The following is a 27,250-nucleotide window of genomic DNA, read 5'->3' as shown; positions in this document are numbered from 1 at the left end:
TCAAGTGCAGAAGCCTGAACCTGCCATGCCTGAGACTTCCATCTGCGATTCACTGGAGAGATGAGGGATATGAGCTTGTGCTGTGCTGGTGCTGAACCCCTCAAGCCCTGTGAAATTAGAATGCTGGAAAGGCCCTCACGTCTCTTTGTTTTAAAAGCCGTGTGTTTTTGGAAAAGCACAACTTTCTGTTTTTTTCCTGAAAGCAAGATTTTTAAATTTCCAAATTATGCTCATAAAGTTTCTCAGATGTCAAACAGGTTTTCATAATAATTATTTTTGATGATTTAAGGGTAAGTAAATAAAAAGCATATGGATTAAATGTCCCTTAAAATATGCATGTTTTAATATTATGGGGTATGGGGGTAGTGCTTGACGAAAGCACTTTGCATTTCACACAGCCCTGATGTTTGAAAAATAGGGCATTTGATGAGTTCTAAACAAGACCAGGTTCTCCTATCTTTGGCAGAACTCTGTGAGCCAGTTTTCTGTCTTTCCAAGAGAAACGGTCTGCCCAATCCTGGGGAACAACAGCCCCCACCCCTGCAAGTAAAGCTTGGCAAACGTGAGCCGTCGTTCTCAGTTGAGAAAACAGGAGTGAAGTAATGGCCACAGCCCGCAGTTACCCCTCTGGAGTGGCCTGATTTATAACTGCCTTGGGAGCCTCACGGTATTACATCGCTTGATTTTGTACACACATAATGTCTTAGCCTTCCCACCCCACAATGTGTTAGGTGGTATTAAAGGTTTTCCACTGGGGCATATAAAATCTTGGCTTTTATCCAAGCCAAAATCCAGCCACCCCTTGAGCATTATAATTGAAGTCTAAATAGAACTTGGCATCATTCTAGGGTCTCTCAATCAATCAACTAACATTAAATGCCTGCTAGAGCAAGCCCTTACTATGATGGGGAGTGAGAGGAAGGGAGAAAAAAGGACATTAAAAAAAGTTCAGAAACACAGAAGACAAAGTCCCAGTTTCAAGCAACTAATGATCTGCTTGAGGGGCTAAGATAAGACACAGGGGAAATGATGAAATGCCACCAGGCAGGTATGGATAAGGGAGGCTGGACTGGGAAGGCTCTCTGAAATAGGAGTAACTTTTGATGGGCCTTAGGGATTGAGCTGGTTCATTCACTTGTGAAAATTCACTTGTGAAATATTTACTGAACACCTACTATATGCAACATACTGGGCTAGTACTGAGGATACAAAGGAGAGCCAGACAGGCCTGGTCCTTGCCTTTGGGCAGCTTGCCTCTGAGTTGGGAAGATAGGCATCAAACAGCTAATTATATCATTCAACCTTCCTTATAATTGTGAGTGCTCCAAAGAAGAAGATCAGGGTACTTGACCAAAGTTAAATGTCTTAAATTTTCCTAGACCCTTAAAGTGTGCTTCACCAATCAGCTTGATATAAAGGCAGAATCTCAGGCACCTCTCCAGTCCTAGTCAATCAGAATCTGCATTTTTAGCTCAATGCCAGGTGATTCTTTTGTACATTAAATTTTTAGAAACAGTACCAAGATAGAATTTTGCAAGACAGCAGAGGACTCCCGGATCACACATGTGTTAGAATATCTGGATTAAATGAATCAGACACCCCTTTTCCTGGATGATATTTATACACCTGAATTGTGTGTTAAGGAGCCTGTGTTGCTTGCGTAGATGCTGAAGAGTGGCCGAGGTAAGTTAACATGCCTCTCAACTTTGCATTATCCATTTGTATCTTATTTTCAGTTATATGTCTACTGGGTCAGGATCCTTTCACGCTCCAAAAGTAGGAGATCTATTCTGTTTGGCATCAATATTTCCCTGTGCCTCCCTCCCTACACTCTCAGTGCTGGCTAATGCTTTCCAGATGAGGTGTGAGCTGCTGCTAATTGTACCCGGATCAGTCTTGATTTGTGTTTCAGTCAGCAAGGCACCTCACTAATGGGTCTGAAACTTGGCAGCAGGCCTGGGACCAGTGTCAAAGGAAACAGATCCGAAAGGCACACCGAGAATGGCAAGGAGACAGGGAGTCGACAGAGAAAGATTTGCAGGATGAAAGGAGGGGGAGGAATCAAAGGGACAGGAGAAAACAGGAGAGCCTTTGGGGAAAAAGCAACAGAGAAACAGACCTGGGAAAGCCGGGGCTGTGGAGGAAAGGGGAGAGGGGCAAACAAAGGAAAAGGCCGGGAGGCAAAGGGAAAAGGAGCAATGCATCTGTATCTCTGAGAGGAGGAAAAAGAGAAGGCAAGATGATCAGGCTGTGTTTTGTGATGTGATCCTGAACGCTGATAATGCCTGTGGTTGCTCACAGAGAAATCCTATGTGGGGAGTGTCAGTCCCATTCCCATCTGCAGGCAGAAATCTGATGCCTCTCGCCTTTTCTCTCTGGCCTCCAGCTTTCCGATGGCTTGGCAGGGAACGCTGAACTCTGACAGCAGCCAGTGAGTGAAGGCTCAAGTTCTAAGCCTGACAGAGTTAAGGGACTCAGACACACCTTGGCTTTATGAGCTGAGGCCCGAGGCAGGGCCTCTGCTGGCTTGAGCTCCTGGAGCCAGCCTTCCTGGAATCGAGCTGGAAAGAGGCCTTCTTAGGGGAAGCTGAGAACTGAGGCCCAAGGCCTTTCTGAATTGGACACATTCACTGTACTTATTTTTTTTAATCTCCTCTATAAGAGGGGGGAAATCCACTTGCCAATATGAATTCCAAATTGTTTAAGTAGGGGAGAACCCATATATGCATGCAAATTTGTGCAGGCAAGCAGAGAGTGAAAGAAACAGGGAAACAGACTGAGGTTACCAGTGGACGGGCTAAACATTGCCTAGGACAATAGCAAAGCAGTGGCACTACCTACCCAGGCTCCCAGCAAGAAACAAATAAGCAAGCTTTGGTTTTGGAGGAAAAGTTGACACCTCAACAAATAACATTAATGTTCAAGCAAAAACTTGTACACAAATGTTTATGGTAGCACTATTCGTAATAGCCAAAAGATGAAAAAAACTCAGATGACCATCAACTGATAAATGGATAAACAAAATGTGGCATACACATATAGTAGAATATTATTTGGCCATAAAAAGGAATGAAGTACTAATACAGGCAATGATAGAGATGAATCTTGAGAGCATTATTCTAAGTGAAAGAGGCCAAACACAAAATGCCACATATTGTATGATTCTATTCATATGAAGTACTCAGAAATGGCAAATCCCCATAGTGACAGTACACAGCTCAGTTGTTGCCAGTGGGTCGGGGGAGGGAGGAATGGGGAGTGATTGCTTAATGTGCACGGGGTTTCCCTTTGGAGCAATGAAAAAGTTCTGGAACTAGATAGTGATGGTTTTGTCACATTGTGAATGTACTCAATGCCCCTGAATTTTACAGCTTAAAACGGTAAATTTCACTCTCTGTGTATTTTACCACAATAAAAACATTTTTTAAAAAGGATTGAAATAATCATTATTGTGAATATCTGAAAAAAATGTGGTCTATCCTAAACTTGATTTATAATTAAATACTGCTTTTATTTGTATTCATATTCAGAGAGTCGTTATAATATTGTAATGTCTCCAACTGTTTTAATATGACCCTGAAGGGGAATGAGAATAAGAAGTTCTAAATAAGAAAGGAAAAAAAGCGATGGAAATAGTAGGGGAAAAGACAAAGAAAGTCAGCTATCTATAGGGTAGGAAATCAGAGTAGGGATGACCTGCTAAAGAAAGGTGGCCAGATGAAGTGGGAGCAAATTAGCTTATGGTGCTTTGCCTAGGGGAGAAAGAAACTTCAGACACAAAGAAAGAGAATAAGGCAAGTCTCTGAGTGGGCCAAACAGCATGGAAAGGAAACTAGAATAAACTGAAAGAGGTCTTCAAAACAAAATAACAAAAAAAGACCAAAAAAACCCAAAAAACAAAAAACAAAAAAAACCCTCCAATTCTTCTTTTATTTCCTGTGAGATGAGTTCTTAAAGCTTATCTTAAATGCCATAGATCTGGGGCTAGGATCTGTGGGTGGGAGTAAGATATTTCCTCTCTGCAAGATGGGGGCCATTCTCCACCAGTAACGGGTCTCACTGCCCTGTTGTCTCCAGCCTGGGAAGTGATGAAGCAGAGGACAGAAGAGCCCCAGTCAGGGATGCAGTGGAGAGCTGTGCATTAAGCTGGCAGTTGGGTAAGATCATTTCTGAAATCTTTTCCAATCCTGTGTTTCTGTGTGTAAATGATTCTAAGCCATGTGCAGGTGCCTGAAAAAAGCGGGGCGTCGGTCAGTGGTTCAGGAGATCAATGTATGAATGTTTACTACATACATGTGCTCTAATTCAAAGGGGATTTGTTGGAATCACATACTGGCCCTTCCCTGTAGAGTGGCTGATGGGAAGACTGAGGTTGAGACTGTAAGTTTCTGACATTATATCCAGTTGTTTGGAATGTAAGAATTTTTAAAAATGTTTTAAATTTGAAAATATATATTAAAAAGATGAAATTAAAATCACTCATATTCTTATCACTTTCATGAGTCTATGCATATTTGCCTATGCTTAGAACACACGCACAAGCACGCACACACACATGATCATATGAACATGCTGTTTTTTTTTTTTTTTACTTTAAGTTCTGGGATACATGTGCAGAACGTGCATGTTTGTTACATAGGTATACATGTGCCTTGGTGGTTTGCTGCACCTAACAACCCATCATCTAGGTTTTAAGCTCCGCATGCATTAGGTATTTGTCCTAATGCTCTTCCTCCCCTTGCCCCCCACCCCTCTACAGGCCCAGTTGTGTGATGTTCCCCTCCTTGTGTCCATGTGTTCTCATTGTTCAACTCCCACTTATGAGTGAGAACATGTGGTGTTTGGTTTTCTGTCCCTGTGTTAGTTTGCTGAGAATGATGGCTTCTGCTTCATCCATATCCCTGCAAAGGACATGATCTCATTCTTTTTTATGGCTGCATAGTATTCCATGGTGTATATATGGCACATTTTCTTTATCCAGTCTATCATTGATGGGCATTTGGGTTGGCTCCAAGTCTTTGCTATTGTAAATAGTGCTGCAGTAAACATACGTGTGCTTGTGTCTTTATAGTAGAATGATTTATAATCCTTTGGGTATATACCCAGTAATGGGATTGCTGGGTCAAATGGTATTTCTGGTTCTAGAACCTCGAGGAATCACCAAACTGTCTTCCACAGTGGTTGAAGTAATTTACACTTCCACCAACAATGTAAAAGCATTCTTGTTTCTGCACAGCCTCGCCTAGGCTATTTCATTTGAACAACTTTCTGGTTATTAAATAGTCTTTAACAACACTATGACTTTGGTGTGTGTGTGTTTAAGAAATTTATGATAAAAACAAAACATACAAACAACAGAACTGCCTGTATTTTTTAAGGCTTCAAGGTGATTTCTGTGAAATAAATCAGCTTCTGGGGTCTGGGTTCCTCCTGTGGGCATGTCTGCTAGTGCATTTGAATCTTATGAGAAGTTTTCCAGACTGAACCTATGAATGCTTTAGACAAATCTTGTTCTTTAACCGTATGGAGAGTTGGGGGGGATGTCTCACTTCCTATGTGAGGAAGAAACTTGGGAAGATCTGCCGTTAGTTTGTCCCAGGTGGAAGAAAATGGTCATAGCAGGTCTCCTTTTAGGTTCTGTTAAGCAGAGGCCTGGTCTATGAGATGTTGAGAGGAAGAATTCAGAGATGAGGAAATAGAAGCAGTTTCCTGAATGTTCTATCAGCAGCCACTTACTGGTTCATATGGTACAACTCAAGTAGGGGCGAACACAGCCCCTACCTACAAGGTCACAGTTGTAGCCACCAGCATAGAGATGAGGAAGGCTTTGCTCAAGTGGCCTGAGATTTGCAGCGTTTGTTTATGTCTTTTGCCCAGAACTGCACAGTTGGTGGTTGAAAGGGCACAACTGTTTTCCCTGTAATTGGGAGCGTGGGGGGCACAGTCTGTTCACAGGTTAGGAGGTCAGTCCAGCACTGGAAAATCACACAAGGCATTAGAGTGGCTTCCAGGCCCTCTAATAATCTGATGAGCGTGTGATCTTCCAGTGGCCTCTCATCTCAGAATAAATTCCTAAATCCTTACTACGTTCTGCAAGACCCTATGTGACCTACATCGTGCATCTGCTTGCCCCAACCTCTGTGACCTTATCTCCTATGATGCCACCCTCACTCACTATTTCCAGCCACAGGGGTCTCCCTGTGGCACCTCACACACCCAGCACACTCCTGCCTCTGGCATTATTGTTATCTTAGCCTTGGAAGCGCTTCCCCTCAATGTTTGCACAACTCACTCCCTCACTTCATTCCAGTTCTGCTCAAATGTCACATCATTACCACCAAGTCATTCTTAGACCACCCTATCTAAAATAGCATCCTCCCTCCATCATTTAATTATCTAGCTAGCCTCTTCCCTGGCTTGATTAGCAATGATTGCCACTGTTACACACATATATATCTTGTTTATCATCTTATTATAAATGTAATACATCTTGTTTATCATCTGTCTCTCACACTAGAATATGGATACTCTGAGAGCAAGGACTTTGTCTTGTTCACTGCTATACCCCTGGCACCTTAACAGTATCTGGCACATAAGGTTCAGTGAACAGTGGTTAAACGAATGAATGGCCATTCTTTCCTTTCCTGCTGGCTGATTAACTTTACCTTTCAGTCTAAAACTTAGAGTAGGGATGTCCTGCTAAAGAAAGGTGGCCAGATGAAGTGGGAGCAAATAAGCCATTTCTCGTATGGCCCTTGGTCTCTTCTTGCGCTCAAGCCTCAAGTTGCCACCATGGTTTCAGGTAGAAACTGTCTTCAAACCATCTGAATCTTAACTCAGAGGACATCAGAGGGATCTATCTGTACAATTTCCCCTAGATATAAGTTACCCATTCAGACACAGCCTCCTGCTCAGCTTTCCTGAGTCTCCCAACTTCCAAAACCTTCCTCTATCCTTCAGCCCCCATTTCTAACTCTACATCAAGATTCTATGTCCGTGATACAGTCCATGACTTGACGTGATCTGTCCTCCTGGCACTCAAATTTATTCTGATCTCTGTGGCTACCCCTCAGTCTATTCTTCCGGACCTCTCGTATCTCCACCATCCACCTGCGTAGAGCCTAAGCCCTGAGAGATCTAATGATTGAGGATAATATCCTTAGAGTGACCTACCACATATTCCCATATCTCCACCATCCACCTGCCTAGAACCTAAGCCCAGAGAGATCTAATGATTGAGGATAATATCCTTAGAGTGGCTTACCACATGTGATTCCATGTTAGTAGAGCTTCTGAGCCACTCCTCTCAGTTTAGAATTTTGTGTAGGCAGAACATTGTCTCAAGATGCCCTAAAAAGTAAAATCAAAGGACAAATCTTTAAAGCCTGAGTGGTGCTCCTTGGCAGAAAGCCGAGATGCTCTGTAACAATGTGTGGGTTCATAAGTGGCCAGCTTTTCTGCTCTTCTGATGCTGTAAGAACACCAGAGGCTGTCGCTTCTGAAAACTTAGAAGCTGACATCATCAGAATTGCTGTTCCTGACTGGTGGGTTCTTTCTGATCTCTAGGACGGCAGCTTTTCCCACGTCAGGTAGTTGCCTGGGACACTGGCCTCATCTGAAGGAGGACTCTGGGCCCCATGAGGCTGGGGGGCTAAGGCTGGGGAAGAGAGGAGGACAGAAGAGGCAGGATGGCTGTAACTAGTTATAATTGCCTCCCTACACACATGTCTAAGCTTGGTGCCCACTCAAACACTGCTCAGTCAAGGAGTATACATGTTGACTGAGTGACTCTCCCTCCCCTTTCTCACTGCACTACACTGGGAGATTTTTTTAAAAGCTATAATGAATTTTGCTATATCTCCCATGTCATAATTAGTACCTATGAGGGCAAACAATAACAATGACATGATGGAGACAGGCAGCACCTAGCTGTCTAGCAGAAGACACAATGCTATGCTATGCAGAGGTGAAAAAATTAAAATATTCATGCACACATGTCATTAAAGCATTTTAGCATTCTCGTTTCACATACACCTGACCTGTGGCACTTTGGGCATGTTCATTTGCCTACTGCAGACAAATAGCTGGGGTGTATAGCAGAATAAGGCCAAGTGCTCTTGCATGGTGACACAACTGGGAAGGAAAAGGATTTGAATCCAGATTCTTACTGCCACACACCTCCCTCTCCCCACAACATCAGCATTGATACCTGATCATTTGCTAACTTGCAATCATATAAGAAAAACAAATGTTGATTGACATTCAAGATAATGTATAATTAGAAGATATCAAAGAACATCTCTCCTATCAGAAGGTCTTTCTAAGTATAAAACAAAACCTAGAAATCAGAATGAAAAGATGAATAAATTTGACTAAATATAAAAGAAACATCTCTGCAAGGTAAAAATCCTTGGTGGCCTGTAATCTCAGCAGTTTGTGAGGTTGAGGCAGGAGGATAGCTTGAGCCCAGGAGTTCAAGACTAGCCTGGCCAACATAGGAAGACACTATCTCTAAAAAATAAATAAATAAATAAGAAAGAAAGAAGAAAAGAAGAAAAAAGAATAGCTAGATGTGGTGTCATGTGCCTGTAGTCCCAGTTACTGGGAGGCTAAGGAGGGAGAATTGCTTGAGCCCAGGAGTTTGAGGCTGCAGTGAGCTATGATTATGCCACTGCACTCCAGCCTGGATGACAGAAGACCTTGTTTCTAAAAAAGAAAAAAAAAAAAAAATCCAGAGTAAAAGACACATGATACACTGATACACTAGGGAAAAAAATGTGAATCATGGCATCTTGTATCACAGACAAATGATTAATTTTCCTAATAAATAAAAAACTGAAAAATATCGATTTAAAGAGCCCTACCAACCCAATAGAAGAAAGAATAAATATTAATAAAGATTTAACAGAAAAGAATATACTAATAACTATGAAATGTGTGAAAGATGAACAGTCTCATTCACAACAAAATAAACTAATTAAAAATATATTGACAAACCATTTTTCACCGATTAAATTGGCAAAGTCAAAAAGCTTGACAAACTGTGTTGGTGAAGGCTTAGGGAAATAGGCACCCCCATATACTGTAAGTGGGACTGTAAAATAGTATATGTTAAGAAAGAAAATATAGCAAAATTTATTATAATTACAAATGAACAAAGCATTTGGCTCTCTTCTAGGGATTTATCTTAAAATACACTCTCATCTGTTAAATGATGCATGAATGATGAAATTCATTGCAGTGTTATTTTAAATAATAAAAGACTGGCAACAACTTAAGTGTCCATCAATAGGTGACTAGTTAAATTATGATACATTTATACAAGAAAACATTTTTCAGCTTAAAACAGAATGAGAATTCTTTTTATGTACTGACAGAAAGATTTTAAAAATATATTAAGTGAAAAAAAGCAAAGTACAAAATAGTGCATAGAGTATGCCATCTTTTGCAGGACAAAGTGGGGAAATAGTGATATGCATTTACTTGTATATATAAAATAGCTCTGCAAGGATACACAAAAAACTAGCAGTGTTAGTTGTCTTGAGCAAAAGAGTGGCTGAGAGACAGATGTGAAGGAGCTATTTTTACCTATTTTCTTTCAAACTTTCTAAGTTTTAAACAGGTCAATGTATTACTTCAAAAAAAATAGGCAACTTATTTTTGTCTTTGAGAAGTATCAATCTAATCATCAACCTCAAAAACTAAAATCTTGAATAAAGATGTCAACGAATTCGTGCAGCAAATAAGCTTTAACAAATTTTAAATTCCCAATTCATGGTTGAATAAGGGAGAAAGAGACGGAGTGTGAGAAAATGGGAGCATTAGATACCATCGAGGATACTAGAGACGGATGATGAGGCAGAAGATAAACAGGGCAAGCAGGACAGACACAGAGGGAGAGAGTAACAGAAAACAAGGGAGACAGGCAAAGACAAGAGTTGTTGAAGTAGGTGCTACTGTTGGGTTAAAATGCTGCTACTGCACTCTGGCATTCAACTCAGGGTGTGCTTCAGACCAGACTGTCCCTTGTTACTACTACTCTTGGAGATTGAGTTTATTTTTCCACGGATTTCTTGGGGTTTCTCTGTGTATAAGGAATTGACAAGGGTTTGAGAAATTTACTTAGGAAACATGGAGGTCCTCTGACCCCACCAGCGAAAATAAACAAGCGTAAAGTGGTACTTACAGGAGAATAAAATAACTGCGGCTCTAGGATTTGGCAGATTATATCAGTAATATGAATTGTGAATATTCAGTGGGTTAATGGGATTTGCCACATATGCGCGTGTCGTAAGGTGTGAGGATGTACTGAGATAAATTCCATAGAATTTACCCCAGTGTATTTTCTTCCTTGTTAATATTCATAATTATTTTGTTTCCATAACACTTTAAACAAAAACCGCACTGTAATGGGTTGCTTATCTTCTTGCATTCAGTTGATTGTAAACTTTTTGAGGGTAGGGGGTTATATCTTCATCTTTGCATTCCCAAATCTAGCACAGTGCCTGGCACAGTATAGGTAATTATTGTTAAATTATTGCTAAATCTGAATTCAGATTGCTATCAGAGGGTTATGCTTAACTACATGCAACAAAGACCAAGCAACAGTAGCTTAAACAAGATATGTATCATGTAATAAAAAGTAGAGATACCAGTTCAGAGGTGTGCAGTGTTTGCTGGGACCCATCAAGGATCTAGATTGCTTTCATATTTTGGCTTGCCAGACTAGCATTCAGTGTCCCTTCTCATGCTCCAAAGATGGCGGCTATTCTGGCCACAATCCAATCAGGAAGAGAAGTTAAGGGCAAAGAGCAAAGGCCAAAGCCCTGTGGGTTTTCTACAATAAATCCTGTCTTAGCGAATTTTGCTTACCTCTCATTGGCCAGAAGTGGATCATGTGACCACTCTACTGTGCAAAGGCATCTGGGAAGCGGATGTTTTAACTGGGTGTATTGCTACAGCCTATAATAAAATTGAGGATGTCTTAGGAGATGGGGATAATGAAATAATGAATAGCAGTATCAGTCCCAAGTGTGTAAAGGCAAAAACCACAAACACATTTTCAACTCTTTCTGTCATTTGCCGTATTTTTCCTCTTGTCTTTTAGATTCTTGATGATAATATTCTATTCTCTTGCAAATCCCAGCAGATTCAATTTAGCTATAGACCATCAGAGGCCATGGATTACTTTATTCCTACTGCCCCCACATCCTCTCCCCTGAGCCCCTGAAGTTCCTGGCATATTCAAAGACTCTAAAGTAATGTAAGTACCTGGCCCCATACGCTTCCTAGACTCCATATGCTGCTTCAGGGTTGAAGATTGGGATATTCCCCAGGGTCAGAGCTGGATGCAAATTCCTTCTCACTCTGTTGCTCTTCTGCAATTCTAGCCCCCTCTCCCCGCAAAGCAGCAATCCTCTGTGGATCATATCATGGGATTGTCTTCATTACTGGATTTCTTAGAAACATCTGGCAGCAGAGCCGGGCCTGTTCCAATTCTCTGAGTCCTCCCAGACCACAGGAGTTCTCCTGAATGATCAAGTGATCTTTCCCCTGAGCCTGTGGAGGAAATTTGTGCTGGTCTCCTGTGCTTCTCTCTGAACAGGAGAAGGTTGTTTATTCCACATAATTAATGGACAGAGAAACTGGGCCTAATTTATTTTACTCATAGGAATGCAAGTCTGTTCTTTCAAGAGAGGAATGTGTGTCTTTGCCTCACCCAAGCAGACTCACAATTTTCCCATAAAGGGTAGATACACTTGGGCCACTTGGGCCAAAGATGAGGGGAAGGAGCAATTCTCAAAAAATCTCAAAGAGAAACAATACAGTTTTAAAGAAATAATGTTTGTTTTGACCATATCATCTTAAGCACTTTTTGTGATCATTTAAAATGATTATTGAAAGGCATTTAACGAGGATTTTTTTATTAGACCTTTGTGCTAGACTGGATTCCTGTGTCCTTCCAGAATTTGCTAACTCTTCAGGAAGAAGAGTTAGAAGTTAAATGTCCTTTAATTTATCTCAAATCAAGAATACTGAATTTTACTCGCACATCCTAAGCTAAGGATGGCACATTTCAAATGCCTGCTTGCTGTTTACAGAGCAGTGTGCTAGGGACAGAGATAAATTACAAAGGCCATGGTTCTGAGACCCTGTCAAACTGCATTTGCAAAACTCTTTGCAGATGAATTCTACGAATTCTTTAGAGTACATCAGCAAAACCTACATTCTTCTCAGCAGAGGCCATTAATTAATTAATTTCATATCCCATAATAGTTATGTGTCTATGTGGTGGTAAAAGCAGACAATGGGATTGGAAAAGCATAGTTTTAGACTCAGGCCTGTGTCTGAATGCCAGCTCTGTTATTTCATACTAAGTATGTATTTCATACATAGCCTCTCTTTGCCTTAATTTCTTCATTTGTAATCCTGTCTTGCAGGATTGTTGTTACTGAATGTAAAGTTCTTGACTCATGGCAAGATGCTTCATAAATGGTAGTTATAATTAATATACAAAGTATTTTCAGTGTTTAACTTCTTCTGAAACCTGGTAAACTCAAATCAAGGTGGCCATTGGCTTCAGCATCACCTCCCAGGACGTGAATACTATTGTCACTGACTTACTGTGGTGCCTTTCCTGCTCTCTCACTTCCCATTTATTCTGCCTGGAATACCATCTTGTTTGGGAAACTTCCCCTAAGCCCCTAGATTGGGTTAGGTGTCCCAGTGCTCCTGTTGGCTCCTGGGCTCATCCCAGTGGCAGCCCTTAACAGATAGTATTCTATTTGTCTGTCTGCTCTGGGGACTTTGCTTTGCTTTGAGAGTGCACAGATCATGTTTGTCACTCTCTCTTTTTTTTTTTAATTAAACAGTTTTATTGAGGTATAATTTACACACCATAGAATCCACTCATTTTAAGTGTACAATTCAATGGTGTTGCAGTAAATTTACAGAGTTGTGCAACCATTACCACAATCTAGTGTTAAAATAATTCATCAGCTGGAAGAGATCCCTCACACTCATTTGCAGTCACCCCATTCCCACTCCCAGCCCTGGGCAACCACTGATCTACTATAAATTTGTCTGAACATTTCATGTAAGTTTGTAGATTCTTTTCTAAAGATTTGTCTGGACATTTCATGTAAGTGGAATCATACACTATGTATTTTTTTGCTATCTCACTTTTCACTTAGCATGCGGTTTTTGAGGTTTATCGATGTTGTCGTATGTATCAGTAGTTCAGTCTTTTTCCTTGATGAATGCTTTTCCATCGTATGGATACATGGGGACTGTTTTTTGTTTGTGCATTTGCTTTTTGTTTTGAAACAGCGTCTCACTTTGTTACCCAGGCTGGAATGCAGTAATGCAGTGGTGCGATCTTAGCTAACTGCTTCCATGACTTCCCGGGCTCAAGCGATCCCTCAGCCTCAGACCACAGGTAGCTGGGACTACAGGCATGCGACACCCACCATTCCTGGCTTATTTTTGTATTTTTTTGTGGAGTTGGGGTTTCGCCATGTTGCCCAGGGTGGGGACTGTGTTGTATACACTAATATGTATATTGTGGCTAGCTCAGTCCCTGCATATAGTAGTAAGCTCCGCCTCCCAGGTTCCTGCCATTCTTCTGCCTCAACCTCGAGTAGCTGGACTGCAGGCTTCCGCCACCACGCCCGGCTAATTTTTTTTTGTATTTTTAGTAGAGACGCATTTTCACCATGTTAGCCAGGATGGTCTCCATCTCCTGACCTCGGGATCCTCCCGTCTCGGCCTCCCAAAGTGCTGGGATTACAGGCGTGAGCCACCGCACCTGGCCGAAAATGTTTGTTTCTTGAATTAAATTCGTCTTGGGATATTGCAGTTAGTCTGACATATTCATATGCACAGCACAGTCCAATACCTGTGTCTTGTTTTGGCAGTGTCCAGCCATTACTTCAAAGGACTCCTTAGCAGCTTCTTACCTTGCCTTCTTCACCTTGTGTAGATTTTTTAAAATTCTAAAGTGAGAAACAACTTCTTTTTCCTTGCTGTTTTGACCTTATTTTCTTCTCATTATCCAATGCAAATTTGAAGTGCTCATATTTGTCCCAACATGTTGTAAGTATCTCATAAATATTAATGATAATGTAGTAACATATTAATAATCATGTATTGAGCACCTCCTTTACTGTGTACCTGCCATTATTTTAAGTGCTTCGAATACTTCAATGAACAAAGACAAAACTCCCCACCACCCTCATGATGAATGTATTCATATTTGGAGATCCCTAATATCAGCAGTGCTTAAGAATTTGGTCTACATAAACCTTAACATGTTTTTCAAACATTACTAAACACGAGGTCAAAAGACATGAATAAACTCTTCAAACAGGGGAATACAGAAAATTACTCAACACATAGAAAACAGATCAGCCCAATAATAATGAAAGAAATGAAAATATAAACAAACTTATATAAGTTAGTGAAAAAATTATTTTATTATTATCAAAAATAAATAAATAAATAAATAAATAAAAGGCTGGGTGCTGTGGCTCTTGCCTATAATCTCAGCACTTTGGGAGGCCGAGGTGGGAGGATGGCTTGAGCCCAGGAGTTCAAGACTGGCCTGGGCAACATAGTGAGACTCTGTGTCTCCAAAAAAAAAAAAAAATTACTCGAATGTGGTGGCACATACCTGTAGTCTCAGCTAAACAGGAGGGTGAGATGGGAGGATCCTTTGAGCCCAGAAAGTTGATGCTGCAGTGAGCAGTGATTGTACCACAGCACTCCAGCCTGGGTGATAGAGCGAGACTCTGTCTCAAAAAAATAGAAGAAAAAAAAAGAGGAGACTGCACTTTTTGATACACAGAATGTATATACAAAACAATGTTAGTTAAAACAAAAGAGTGAAAAATATTATGCATGAGCTGACATGCATACTTGTATTTGAGAATTTTTTGGTGACCTATAAAATGGAATTTAAAAACTCAGTAGCCACACTTACAATCTGCAATCTGATTTCCTTGGAAAATATAATCTCCATTTCTACCTCCTCCTTTGCCAGTTATTTGCACTAGTATATCAAAAGGACATTCTTCTTTTTAGGTGCTGTATCCAAGCCTACTTCATCAACACAGATTCCCATGAACTGTAGAGCAGCAGGGTCAGAAAGGACCCGGAGACCAAACAAGCCATACTTTCATTTTACAGAGGCAGGAATGTCCATAAAGAGGGAAGGTCTTGCCTAAGGTCTCTCTGCTAGTTAATGGCAAGGCTAGTATAAAACATAAGTTTCAATCTTCTTCAGTACTTAACACAGTCACTGGTACATAGTAGGAATTTGAGAACATTTGTGGAATGAATGACTGACTTTCATAATAGAAGACTGACATGGCAGAATTCATTGGAAAGCTCACATACTGGGAGTCTTGCTTCTGGGCACCCAGCTGAGAGTCAACATCTGAATATGAAAGATTTGGACTCACAGAGCAGAACCAAAACGGAAAACAAAGTAAAAACCAAAACCGAAAACCAAAAAACAAACAAAAAACAAGGAAGGGAAACCTAAAGCCATGGTCTGGCTTGGTAGAAGGCTACTATTTGACTTAAAATACTTGGAACATTAGTAATTTTCATGGGTGTGTCTGCTGTTCTACAGATCTAGGTTCTGGGCAATTAAAAGCTATGGGTTTATTCTGGTTTATTTTAGGCAGCCTGCTGTGGCCTCTTCCTATTGTGGTTGAGGACATTGTGTGGATGGGCAAATGCTTGGCCTCCTATTTGGATTCGAGACTAATGCTCATTATTTTATTTCAAAAGGAAGAAGAGCTGACATAAATAGTTCATGGAGAGTCCTGGTGGGAGAAGGTGATATCTGTCTTACTGCAGAACTAGGGTAATATGAAGAAAACCAACATGGAAAACCGTGTCTCCCTCCTTGTGTTGTTTTGGAGGCAGTCCAGGAAAGGAGGACGGATCTACTTTCTAACTTGTGGAGAGATCATGGGCAAGTCACCCTGGTCTAAGTTTCTTCAAGGTAAATTACAATCCTGATTAAGAGGTTCAGAGAAGGTAACAGACATGAAAGAATTTTGAAAAATATAATATGTTATATTAACTTGTGGTGGTATATGATGGAGTTGAATTCAGCATAGGAAATAATTTTTTAAAAAGCTGTGTTGTGTTGCTACTTCTTTAAAAATGATGGCTAATAAAAGAGAATGAGCAGAGAAGGCCGTGCTTATAAGGAAGGAAGGAAATAACTGAATGATGGGTTTTTACATCATAGAACAATGGTAAAAACATCTTTGGCTGCAGTTTCCTCTTGTCCACTCATCTACCTACCAGCTGCTACTAAACATTAAACATTAAAGCATGGTAAAGAGGACTAAAAAACAAACAAACAAACAAACAAATCACCACCACAACAACAAAAAACTAGGCAATAATAGACCTTTGCTAAAGTTTATCCTCCTTTTCAGCATCCTTTTCTATCAGCCTATAGCCCATCATAGAACCCTGGCAAATATTAAATAGCTGTGGTCGAACAGAAAAAAACAACAGTTTTAGAATTAAGAGTTGGGTGTGGGCCCGAGTTCCTGCACATGTTGGCTGTGTAACCTGGAGAAGTTTTTTGTTTGTTTGTTTGTTTGTTTTTGAGACGGAGTCTCGCTCTGTAAGTTTTAAAAGTCTTTCTTATCCCAGATTTCCTCATCTATAACAAAAGAAGAACAGCCTACTATCCGGGCAGTGTCCAAATGAAATAATGTTTGTGAAAACCCTTTACAAACTGTAAAGTGCATTAGAAATGCCTATATTGTTATTCCGTCTTTTTGCCTCAGTTTCTTCATTTGTAAAACACGGCCAGTGACACCCATTTCACTAGGATATTTTGGTTCCCCGTGAAGCCCTCTGCAAGTAACTGAGTCTCATATTATACCTCACCCTAGATCTACAGCCCCTTATTTCTCTACCATGTAATGGAATATTTATTTCCAGCCTGACATTTTTGTTTTCTATTGTCTTGTTAGATATCACCCTCAGAGAGCTTCCAATATACTTGATAAGTGAAGACCCTCCCATGATTTACCTGCCCACACCTCTCTTTTTACAGGGGCCTGCTACTGTAGAAAGCTGGGACCCATGTTTGACAAGAGGCTCTTGGTTCTCTCCACCAAGAGGATTTAGGCATTCACCCTTCTTCAGACACTCCTGCCATGCTGATTACAGGGAGACCCCAGAGAGGTGAAAAAGCAGAGTGGACCGTGACAGCCTGAAGAACATTAAAAAAGAGCTTGCAGACGGTGCCACTAAATGCCTGAGACACTGAGTGAGAGGAGGGGCCCCATCCACTGAGCTGGCCGCCTCCTGTCTTCCCTCAAAACAGATAGCTCTTTCCATTCACTTCCACATGCGTCTATTCTCTGCCTCTTGAGTGGGCCTGAAACTGGAAAACATCTGCACTAGTTTCGTTTGGGTGTGATTTATAAGGACTCCCTGCGGTCCCCTCTCTCCCTTCTCCTCCTCTTCACCTCTGGGGCTTCGGGGTTTGGTTTTTTTTTTTTTTTGTTTTTAAACAGGCTTGTGTTTCTTGAGACTGGGTCACCTTGATTTATTATGCCCTGGACTCATTAACAGAAGACTCTGGGACAGGTCATTTATTTTCTGAGTGGTAATTTCCTGTCCTACCCCAGCCTGGCTCAGCAGGGGCCCAGTGGAGCACAGACTTATATTAGCTGCACTGTCACCATGGGAGAACAGAATTGAGCAAGAAAAGTTCAGAGGGCAAAAAACATCTCTTAAGAGCTTTTCTCCTTACTCTGATGATTTCCTTCAGAGTCCCTTTTGGTAGCTCCCTGTCTCTCTTTTTTTTTCTCCCTTACCCCAGCAAATGGGATAAAGTTTAACAAGTTGCACGACTGCCTTCTTAAAGGAATAAACACTGGCCTTTCTTCTCTGTTTCATGTTTGAGTGATCCAACATTTATATGCAAAAATAAAAGATAGGGAGGATACTAGTGGGCACCCCAAGCTGAGGATGAATTAGATGAATTAAACAGTCCAAATTTTTACCAGGCCCTTGTTACAATAATATATTCACGTTGAGGCACTGAAATCTGATGTGTTAATTTTTAGAGAGACCAGAAGACAAAGATAAAATTACTCAAGATTTTCAGATAGGATCTTGGGATGAAGATTAAAGAAATTGACATTATTTAGCCTAAAGTTCAGAGGCTGAAGAATGATTTATTAACTGTTTCCAGGTCTCTGGAAGGTAGTTACATATAGGAATGATGGTGACCAGCTGTTTTCTGACTGCACTAAGGATAGAATGAAAGGAAGTGGAATCAAATTGTAGTAAAATGGCAGAATAAGTAGTCATAAAGGTGAACATCCATGGCTAAAGTCTATTGAGGAAGATGAGATATATCTTTAAAGCTGTAAGCTTGTTAGCCCCATTTTATAGGTTAATGAATGGAGGTTCAGAGAGGTTAAAAAACTTGACCAATGTCCATCACTGAGGAAGTGACAGAACCAGGTCTAGCTGGACTCCACAGTGTATGACAAGGCTGACTTATATGGCAAAGAAATTAACAAGAAATACAGAAAATAGTCATTTTATGAAGTGCCATTAGCCTAGATTGGCTCATGTGCAGAGGACAGGGGATTCAATTCTGTGGACTTAAGGTCCTGGGATTCTGTGCTATACCTGCCTCTGTGTTGGGAGGACAGTACCCTCCATTCACTCTCAGCCCAACAGACAGGCAGAGAGGGCAGACAAGCACTGCAGTTTCCCTGAAACAGTCTGAAGATTTTTGGCTCTGTTTGTGCTGGTCATGTCTGTTGCTTGTCATGGGCTGCACTCCCAGACGAAGGCTCTGGTTTCAGGAAGGCCATGAGGATGATGGGTTGTGGGTGTCCAGGGCACAGGAAAGACATCCCTCCTACGCACAGTGCATGGCGTCCCAAAGGTTCATCCCTCATGGGAAGGCCAGTTAGTTAAGGAGGTTCCAGAGTTTGTTCCACGGTGAGGATTGGAATTTACGCAGAGCCACCAAAGTGGCTAGAATTCGTCCGAGGAGCATGCAGAGGTGGGAGGAGCAAATCCCAGCTGTATGATTGTCCATGCACATGGGCCAGTTTGGGAATGGCCATGATGGAGGAGCAAGGCTATACGAAACTAGGACTGATTGACCGAATGGGAAGGATGACTAACATGTGCTGCATACTTACTCTGCCAGGCACTATTCAAAGTTGGTGAACTATATTAGCTCATTCAGTCTTTGTGGCAACCCTATAAAGTCAGTAGTACTGTTACCAGAAAGGGGTCCTGATCCAGACCCCAAAAGAGGGTACTTGGATCTCGCTGAAGAAACAATTCGGGGCGAGTACATACAGTAAAGTGAAAGCAAGTTTATTAGGAAAGTAAAGGAATAAAAGAATGGCTACTCCATAGACAGAGGAGACCTGAAGGCTGCTGGTTGCCCATTTTTATAGCTATTTCTTGATTATATGCTAAACAAGGGGTGGATTATTCATGCCTCCCCATAATTTCCTGACTACACCTTGGCATTTGTAAACTGTCATGGCTCTGGTGGGAGCGTAGCAGTGAGGACGACCAGAGGTCACTCTCATCGCCATCTTGGTTTTGGTGGGTTTTGGCAGGCTTCTTTACTGCAAGCTGTTTTATCAGCAAGATCTTTATGACCTGTATCTTGTGCAGACCTCCTATCTCATCCTGTGACACGGAATGCCTTAACTGTCTGGGAATGCAGCCCAGTAGGTCTCAGCCTCATTTTACCCAGCTCCTCTTCAAGATGGAGTTTCTCTGGTTCAAATGCCTCTGACAGTACTGTTGTTAGCCTCATTTACGATGAGGAAAAGAAGCACAGTGAGGTCAGTAACTTGTTTGAGCCCAGCAGCTAGGAAGAGTTGGAGCTTGAGTCCAGGTCCAGAGAGAGTCTGACCCCAGTAGCTGTATTCTTAATTACCTCAGTTTAGGATGAGGTGCTTAAGTTCCTCCCTCTCCCCCACCCCTGGAGGAACTTTTGCTCTGGGGTCACTGGCTCAACAATGACATAGCTTCTTGCTGCCTAGTTTATAAGAAGTACTAAAAATTGTAAACATTGTTCTAATTTAGGGATTTTATATTCACTCTTTCTCTGCCTCTTTCTTTATCTTAAAATAGGCTGGAGGAGAGAGAACAAAAAGTAAACATTTGTATGCTCCCCAAGTCAGGCCCTTGGGTATTCGGAGTCTGTAGTTGCTAGTTAATTAAATTCTGTAATTGCTCAGTTAACTGTTTGCAAGGTGTGGGAGGCTGGTGGAGGAGGAGGGCAGGTTTTCCAACAGTAAATCCTACAGGGAGGGGCAAGAGAAGAGCACCAACATCTGCTACCTGCAGACCTTGAGCTAAATGTTTTCCCATTAGTTACCTCATTTTCATCCTCTTAACCGTCCTTTGAGGTGGGTGTTATCAGCACAATTGTACAAATGAGAAAGGTTGTGTAACTTGCCTGAAGTCAGATTCTCTGTGAACAAAGGACCTGGGATCTGAACCCCAGAGTGTTGCCCTCCAAAGCTGTGCCCAAGACACTGTACAGTATCCACTGCTATGGACAAGACAAGCTTGACAGAGGACCCAACAGGCTTAGCCAGGAACACAACCCACAGCACGCAGGTGAGATGGTTCTGGCCACACCCTCCAGCTCAGGCTCAGCTCAACCCTTCCTCCTTCCTGGGAGCATGTCAGCCTTCCGTGTGGGGAGCAGCAAACTGGACAAACAAGAAGCTCTTTTCTGGGCTGTGCTCAGCCAGGGGCCTGGGGCATAACAGGATGGTTAATGCAAAGCTTGGCAAGCCTTCCCGTTTTAATTTAGGCCTCCTCCCAGGAGGGAATCCAGAGGCGGGAACATGAGAAAGGGAAAGGAAAAATAATAAGAGATAAGTGAGAAAAGAGAATATTTATAGGGCTTGGAACATCTAATGGAAACCAGCTGCCTTATTGGGGATGGGGGCCTCTTCCTTGCAGGGGATTATTAGGTTTTCTCTTGTACATACCTGTGTGTGGTGGGGGGTCCGGGCAGAGAGACAGCGACAGCAGGGACCAGCCTGGAGGCAGGGTGGAGGGCTGTGCTTACTGTACATTGGCCATCAGAAAGTGGCTATTCCCCTCCTGGCCTCACTCCACCCCCACCTCCTGCCTTCATTTTCAACTGGAGCTGATTCAAACCTGCTGCTCGTGGAAGGAGGCCATGAGTGCAGGCTCCAACAGAAAGATGATACGCGAGGGGATATGAGTGCGAGAGAGCGGGGCAATCAGAAAGAATGAGAAAATGAGACGAGGGAATGGAAAAGGTGAATAAACAGGGGATGATGAGGGAGGGAGAGAGATTGAAAGATTAAAATATTGGCCTGAGTGGGGAGCTTGGAAAGAAGGGAGTGAAGTCTAGAGTTGGAGCAAATTCAGAGCTGATCCTTCTGGGCCCTGTTCTCTCTCCCACAGACTCAGACGGTTGCAATAAAGATGTGTCTGTTTGAGATTTTCCAGGTCCCTTTCCCATAAATCTGTATTTCCTTCTTTCTCAAGGTCTTTGGACCAAAAAGTCTCATCCAAGAATTGTGTAAAGAACACTTAAAGGTGGAGGAGGCATCATAAATGGGAAAAGTGTGATAATATAGGGCTGGAATCTGGGGCACACATTTAGAAAGACAGCAGCCAAATGCAAAGGCACTTTCCAGAGGCCAATTTGTCCTGAGGCTTAAGCTCTGTGTCTTTTTATTTCTAGCTTTCTCTTAGGCTCTTGGTGAGTTGGAGAGGATATGTTCATGAATTGTGGAGTAAAGTTCTGTGTTTAATTGATATGAATTCAATGATATGTTAGGCCAGATAAAGCAAGAGAGAGCAAGAGAGAGTGAGAGAACACCATTTAAAGAGTAGGGATGATTTGCCCATCTTTTAACACAATGAGCAAGAATGTTAGGTGAGCTGAGCTGAGACATGTGAATCTACTCTTCCCTTGGTTTCTTTGGTCTTGGTTCTCAGATAGATCTCATAATATCGGTGAATTTATGTTTAAGGAAACAAGAATTTTTTTAAATAAAAAGTTGTCCTTTACATAAAAGTTCACTACTTTATCTCCTACCCAACTGAAGGAAAACACACAACAAGTTACGCTGCTTTTGTTGAAAAATGGTGTAGGGAAAGAAAAGTAATTTTTTCTTCAACTTTCAGAAGTTCTTAGATGGGAACCCTATCTAGACCCCTGTAACATAAGACAGATTAACAAGAGAAAAACAAACAGAAGTTTATTAATATGCATTATTTTATATATACATGGGAGATACCCAGGGAATAGTTCTCAAAGAACAGTAAATTTTTAAAGAAGTGGCAAGACAAAGGAAAAAGACTTTAAGTCTCTAGGGAAGGCAACTTGGAGGAAGGCAAATTAAAGGCTGGTTAGTAAAGCTTGTTTGTGTAGATTGCTCTGGAACCATCTCCAGGTTTATAAGAGTTCCAAGCTGTCTTTAGTGGTTAACCTTTGTTCTCTCTGGTAGAAGTGGGGTGATAGGGTGCAGGATACCTATTGTCTTTGTAAATCTATGTCCTGCTTTTAGGCAAATAGAGGAAGGGCAGAGAGCTTTTCTGCATCTGTTTCTTCTTAATTACCATCAGCTCAACAATCCTTCATATTTTGGGGTGGCATATTTTGGTCTCACACAATGGTATAATAATGTTCTTTAAGGACAATTTAGGGGATTTTCAAGCCATTTTAATCATTTGATCTGATTAAATGTTAAGTGCTTTTCAACGTCCCTTTTTAAATGTTAAGTGCTGCCTGTAGACTTCATTGTCCATTGAGGTTGGCCAATGTGTGAAAATGTTGACTATATTTGGACTTATGGTTGGATTAATGGACAGCTTTCTCCTGATTACCCAGTCCACTGGTACATAATAAATTAAGAAAGGTCCACAGGCCCCCTGAACTCAGGCAAAGCTCCAAGAGGGGGCAACAATAACCAGTGTGATGGAAGCCCTCTCCTTTCAACTGAGTCCCTTCCTCTTATCTGATCACATGCTGTCACTCCTATCTTTCGATTGGAAACAAGTACCTGTCTTGCTACCATATGACACCCCCCTAAGTGCTGGAGTGGCTCCTGAGCACTGTCAACATCTGACTAACAAAGACAACCTCTAGTCTCGGTAGTATCTCAAGGAGGTCTTCTTTTGTGCTTTTCTATCTTATTCAAAATGTTCGCCCTTTACATTAACGCAGCAACAACTTTACTGTGCCAGCAAGATTAGAGAAAAAGTCAAAGCAGTTCAAAGCCCATGCTGACAAAAATAGCAACATTCCCTTAGAAAAACAATAATTACTACTGTTTTAAGAACTTCGGAAAAAAAAGTGAAATGTTGAAACAAAAAGTGGAAATGTTTTCCCCTTTGGAAGAAATTTCTGCTCAAACTGTTGCAGCTCTGGGGCAGCCTCATCTTGCCCACAGAAGCATCTGTCTTTCAGAAATGAAGACTCTCCTTAATCATCCACAGTTCATACGCTCCTGTGATTTGTAAAAATGGATCTCATAAACTCAGTCAGAACTCTCATGATGCTGGGGAGAGAAGGGATTTCAAGAGTTCTTACATCTCCCTACTGTAACTTCCAGGTCAGACTGCTGCTGGGTCCTTATTCTTCAAGACCTGCGAGGAAAGCTATTCTCAACCTTTCAAAGTGATGCCAAAGAAAGGATGCTTTGGCATTTTACAATTTGTTTGCTGGACTCTGCTGGTTTGGTGCTTTTTGAGTCGTGATGTTCCACATATCCAGGCTGTCCTTTAGATTATATATATATTTTCAATTTTTATTTATTTCTCAGTAGATCTGGTGCCTTAAAAAAAAACGAGATATCTCTATTTGTGTCTTGATGAATTATAAAAGACATTTCCCACCCTTCCTTCTGTTCTATGATCAATTGTCTCCTTTCTCTCTTTTCACTGTTGTCTTCTCATTTGCATATATTTTACATGGACTTGCAGATGTAGGTCAACCACTTTAATTGTGTGAGTCAGAGTGTGTTGGTGGGTAAAACACAGCATAAGTCATATTTTTCAATGGCAGAAACATTATGTGTGGCATTGGCATTTGAACTTATTATTATTATTATTATTATTATTATTATTATTATTTCTTGAGACAGAGTTTTGCTCTGTCACCCAGGCTGGAGGGCAGTGGCATGGTCATAGCTCACTGCAGCCTCAAACTCCTGGGCTTGAGTAATCCTCCTGCCTTGTCCTCCTGGGTAACTGGGATTACAGTTGGGCAGTACCATACCTGAATAATTTTTAAAAATTTATTGGTAGAGACAAAGTCTCACTATGGTTGCCCAGGCTGGTCTCAAATTCCTGGGCTTAAGCAGTCCTCCCTGCTCAGCCTCCTAAAGTGTTGGGATTACAGGCGTGAGCCACTGTGCCCAGCCTGAATTTCTTATTCTCACCTCATGAGTTGGTTTAAATGGAAACATTCATTATTTAAATGACCTAGGATACCCTTATGTCAATCTGAATAGAATGTGTCACTACTCTAGAACTGGAAAATATAAACGTCCCAAGTACTATGTGAAACATTTAGAACCATGGCTTTTAAATGTCCTACATTTAGGTCCTGGAGAAAGGACCTAAAAAATCCTTTAAGTACCTCATGAGACAATACATATCCTGGGAATCTCCAGGAACAATCTAAGCTGTGCGTGATGACTTATTTTTAAGAACCCACTACCATTTATTTCCACTGGATGAATAACCCATCACAGAGATGGGGAAAACATGAACAATGGTAGAGCTGGGGGCAAGAGATGAGTACAAATTTGGTCAAGTGATTAAACCAGCTATAAATTTATTTAATCATGCTTTTCTGCAGGCAACTTTTCTCCATTTGATCTTAAAACTTCATGAGAGGTTCTGCCATATTCTTTGCAGGTAAACATTACGTGTGCCTTCTCTGATCTACCGGCTTCAACCATGGAATGGTCATCCCTGTCTAGAGACTCATAAACAACCATGGATGGAGCTGGCATGGCACTTGGAGGCTGGAGGTGGTGAGAGGTTGTTGTACAGAGTATTCAATTTCTCCAGTGAATTCATCCAGTCAGACTCTCATACATTGGCTCTCAACAGACTCTTTTATTTTCCCTTTTCCCTGCATAGTCCTTCCAACCTGAAATTCCCTTGCTTTCTCTTTGTATAACTAAATCTTAAGACTCAGGTTCACCTTCTCTTCCTCTGTGAAGCCTTCACTGAATGCAATTCACCCATAACTCCCCTCTCTTACACCCCGATAGCTGGTAGTGCCTATGTTGTCCCACTTCTTAAGTTTCCACATTGTCCAGTACTCTTTGTTAGGTTTCTGGGTATTTAAGAGCCACCAGCTGGCATTCCTTGCAGATGGATTCCAGAAGTCCCTGAAAAAGAAATTGTAGAGTCATATTGGACTCATATTGAACACAGAAGGAATAAATTGTTGGGGTTGGGTGGAGGCGGTGACTGGACTCACATGAGAATAGACAACTGATACACTCTTTCTTCATGGGAAGATATTTAGCACAGAGAGCATCCTTCTTTTCCTTCTCTGCTTCTTTCTCCCAGAGAGAGGGATAAGGAGACCTGGGCTTGAACCTGAGGAGACCAGACTGGCCTAGACTGGAAGACTGGGCTAAGCTGTGGTGAGCTGTTTGCAGTTTATAAACAAGTCCTGACATCCCAGTTTGGGTGTTGGCAAGCAATGTCTTCAGCCCAGAGAAAGTTCTCAGAGATGCACCAAGGCCTCAGGCTAAACTGCAGAGTAGGCAAAACTCTTCACCACTGTTCCTCCCACTCCTTCAGTTCCCCAGCACCCCAGATACCTCCAGCCCTCACACTGCCAACTTCGGGCATTCCTTCCTTGGTGTCTAACTGGGCTTGATCTTCATAAAGACTATATGGTGAAGTTAGCTTTTCCTCTTCCCACCAGGTACTGATCTCTTAAAACGAATAAGATGTAGGTAATCAAATTGGCTTTATCTTTCTATTAGGTATTCTAGACTAAAAGCTCCATTAAACTGATGTAATTTAGTAAGGGAGATGTTGGGGGGCTAAGGGCTTTGTCTATCTCTATCAGCTGCTCTCCTCTCCCCACAAGCTAGACTTTGGATAAAATACCAGATAACAGATTTTGTGACTTGGCACATGGCTTCCTTTCTCCCAGACTTCTTTGTGCCTCCCTCTTGCAACCAGCTAAAGAGTCATCCTTGTGGGAACAACTGGGAATTGGCACAGAGACTATTGGAAATCACAGGTGATCCTGGAACCGAGTGTCTCCCGAATGCCTTATTAGTACAAGCCTCTTGGGACTACTTGGAACCTTCCAAAGGGAATTTCACTCTCTTAATTTCATACTCAGTGCAGGATAACCTTCTATAATGTTCCCAACTGGCAGCAGCCAGCCCTGGATGAAGTACTTCCTGTAAGGAGAAGTTTAGTCCTTTCCAAGGCAGCCTGTTCCATTGTCTGTACTTGTTGGGAATCTCTTTTTGTATAAAACAGAAGTTTAGTTACAGTTTTACTTTTAAGGAATGTGGAATACATCTCTTCCCCATGACAGCTCTTCAAATTATTAAACAACAGTGTGGTTCTCAGTACCTCTCTCCCTCCCTCTCTATCCCCTCACACACACACACACACTCTCTCTCTCTAGGTTAGACATTTACATTTCCTCAATGTTTCTCATCTGACATGGCTTTAAGATCTTACAACCTCTGATTCCCTTCTTTGGACATTACACTTTGTTAATAAGAATTGGTCGGCTGGGCTCAGTGGCTTACGCCTGTAATCACAGCACTTCGAGAGGCCGAGGTGGGTGGATCACGAGGTCAGGAGTTCAAGATCAGCCTGGCCAAGATGGTGAAACCCCGTCTCTACTAACAATACAAAAAAAAAAAAAAATTAGACGGGTGTGGTGGTGGGCACCTGTAATCCCAGCTACTCAGGGCGCTTAGGCAGAGAATTGCTTAAACCCAGAGGCAGAGAATGCAGTGAGCCGAGATCATGCCACTGCACTCCAGCCTGGGTGACAGAGCGAAACTCCGTCAAAAAAAGAAAAAGAAAAAGAAAAAGAAAAAGAATTGGCTATGCTCCATTTCTAGAAATAGGCTGGAGTTGGGATTCTTACCCCCTTGATTTAATTTTAGTTAACAAGTATTTATTGAGTACCTAATATGTTTAAGGCCCACAAATCAACAAGGAA

At 41.6% G+C, this 27,250-nt stretch overlaps 2 long non-coding RNA genes across 6 annotated transcripts in view; one reads left to right on the top strand and one right to left on the bottom strand.

The window, feature by feature from the left end:
- The window catches only part of NEPRO-AS1 (NEPRO antisense RNA 1), a 164,860-nt gene that overhangs the window by 15,094 nt on the left and 122,516 nt on the right, over nt 1-27,250 (bottom strand). For 2 of the 5 annotated variants that reach the window (NR_186661.1, NR_186663.1), the window contains one exon: nt 7,265-7,350. The exons of 1 other annotated variant lie outside the window; for it this stretch is intronic. This is a non-coding gene — a long non-coding RNA (NEPRO antisense RNA 1). Of the gene's footprint in view, nt 1-7,264; nt 7,351-24,840; nt 25,431-27,250 lie in introns of those variants that run through there. 2 more of the 5 variants (NR_186660.1, NR_186659.1) reach the window with 1 other exon arrangement.
- LINC02044 (long intergenic non-protein coding RNA 2044) lies at nt 1,553-26,934 on the top strand. Its single transcript, NR_110823.1, has 4 exons — nt 1,553-1,683; nt 4,078-4,157; nt 15,796-16,012; nt 24,949-26,934. It is a non-coding gene; the product is annotated as a long intergenic non-protein coding RNA 2044 (long non-coding RNA).

This window comes from Homo sapiens, chromosome 3 (assembly GCF_000001405.40).
Source record: "Homo sapiens chromosome 3, GRCh38.p14 Primary Assembly".
In the NCBI taxonomy this organism is placed as follows: Eukaryota; Metazoa; Chordata; class Mammalia; order Primates; family Hominidae; genus Homo; species Homo sapiens.
Note: the sequence above shows the minus strand (reverse complement) of the source record. Positions and strands in the feature narration are given on the sequence as shown.